Source organism: Homo sapiens, chromosome 17, assembly GCF_000001405.40.
Source record: "Homo sapiens chromosome 17, GRCh38.p14 Primary Assembly".
Lineage (NCBI taxonomy): Eukaryota > Metazoa > Chordata > Mammalia > Primates > Hominidae > Homo > Homo sapiens.
In genome coordinates this window covers 39,952,058-39,953,386 of record NC_000017.11, presented here as the reverse complement: position 1 = coordinate 39,953,386, position 1,329 = coordinate 39,952,058, and the positions used below count along the sequence as shown (strand labels likewise).

The 1,329-nt window shown below is 66.3% G+C and overlaps 2 annotated features.

Annotated features, from left to right (window-relative positions):
- Positions 1-50: a silencer, noted in NCBI's record as "silent region_8469". NCBI's record gives its function as "represses an Ori minimal core promoter by ATAC-STARR-seq in GM12878 lymphoblastoid cells {active_cell/tissue: GM12878}" and the evidence as "EXISTENCE:reporter gene assay evidence [ECO:0000049][PMID:35858748]".
- Positions 91-610: a silencer, noted in NCBI's record as "silent region_8468". NCBI's record gives its function as "represses an Ori minimal core promoter by ATAC-STARR-seq in GM12878 lymphoblastoid cells {active_cell/tissue: GM12878}" and the evidence as "EXISTENCE:reporter gene assay evidence [ECO:0000049][PMID:35858748]".

Sequence of the window (1,329 nt, the reverse complement as noted above, 5' to 3'; positions counted from 1 at the left end):
GGCGCATGTCTGGTCCTCAGCACTTGAGCCTTGTCCCCGATCCCGCCCCGCCCCTGGGCAATCCGCTCTGCCCCCTGCTACCTTAAGCCCAGCCTCTCGTCCCTTGTAGTCCGGCCGTCCACCCAGCCCCGCCCCCCGGACGCCATCACCATCTCTGCCCCGCAGCCCGCAATTCCGCCCACCCCGCCCCAGCCCCGCCTCTACCCCAGCCCCGCCTCCACCCAGCCCCGCCCTCACCGCACCAGCCCAGCCTCCGCACCAGCCCCGCCCTTACTGCCCAAACTCCGTCTCGGCCCCAGCCCCACCCACACCTCCCCCGCACCGCCTCCGCACCAGCCCCGCCCTCACCACCCCAGCCCCGCCTTCACTCCGCCAGCCCCGCCTCTGCCCCAGCCCCGCCCTCACCGCCCCAACCCCGCCTCCGCACCAGCCTCGCCCCAGCCCCAGCCACCTCCTCAAAGCCCCAGCCCCGCCCTCAGCGCCCAAACCCCGCCTCTGCCCCAGTCCCGCCCTCACTGCTTAAGCCTACCACACCAGCCACGCCTCCCCAGCCACGCCCACACCACCCCAGCCCCGCCTCCACCCCAGCCGGTCATTCTCTCCGCAGGCGATCTGCCGCCCGGGTCAGGCCTTTCCGCACCGCAGCTGGTCCTTCACCTCCACCTGCAGCGCCCGAAACCCCCTGTGCTCCTGTGGGGCCATCTTGGGCCCGGACTGAACTGTGGGTTCAGGACAGTGGTGACTGGGACCCTACCCCTCTCCACCCTCTTCGACCTCACTTTACTCAGCGAGTCCCTCACTCCCAGGCACAGAGGTTTCTTTCTGGGGTATGGCGCCCTGCTCCCCCGTGCAGACTCTCCTCACCAGGAAAAGATGGTCACAGCAGGGTCTTGTGGTGAGGGGGCGTTGGGGGCTCAACGCCTTACAACGTTTTCCGATGGGCATTGAGGATCCTGTTTAGGGGAAAGGGACACACCCTGTCACCATGGATGACTGTCAGATGGAGAGCGAAATCACGAGGACGGAAAGCCCAAACGGAAGAGGTGTCCTGCGCCAAGGTGCCGCCCTGAGTGGGCCTAACCTCAGCCTACCTGGAACAGCGTGGTGGAGGCTTGCGGGGAGGATGCACCGAAAAGGCCCAAGAAACCCGTGGCTGCCATCACAGTCAGCACTACGTCCCGCCAATGTCCAGGGGACCCCTCTGCATCCCACCCACCATCACCCCAAAGTCTTTCCCTTGCGAAGGGGCTCTGGGCTTCAGCTGCTGACTTGACAGATTTCTTTCCTTTGCTTAGGAAAGGGGTCTCTGTGTCCCTCTCACCTTCTAAG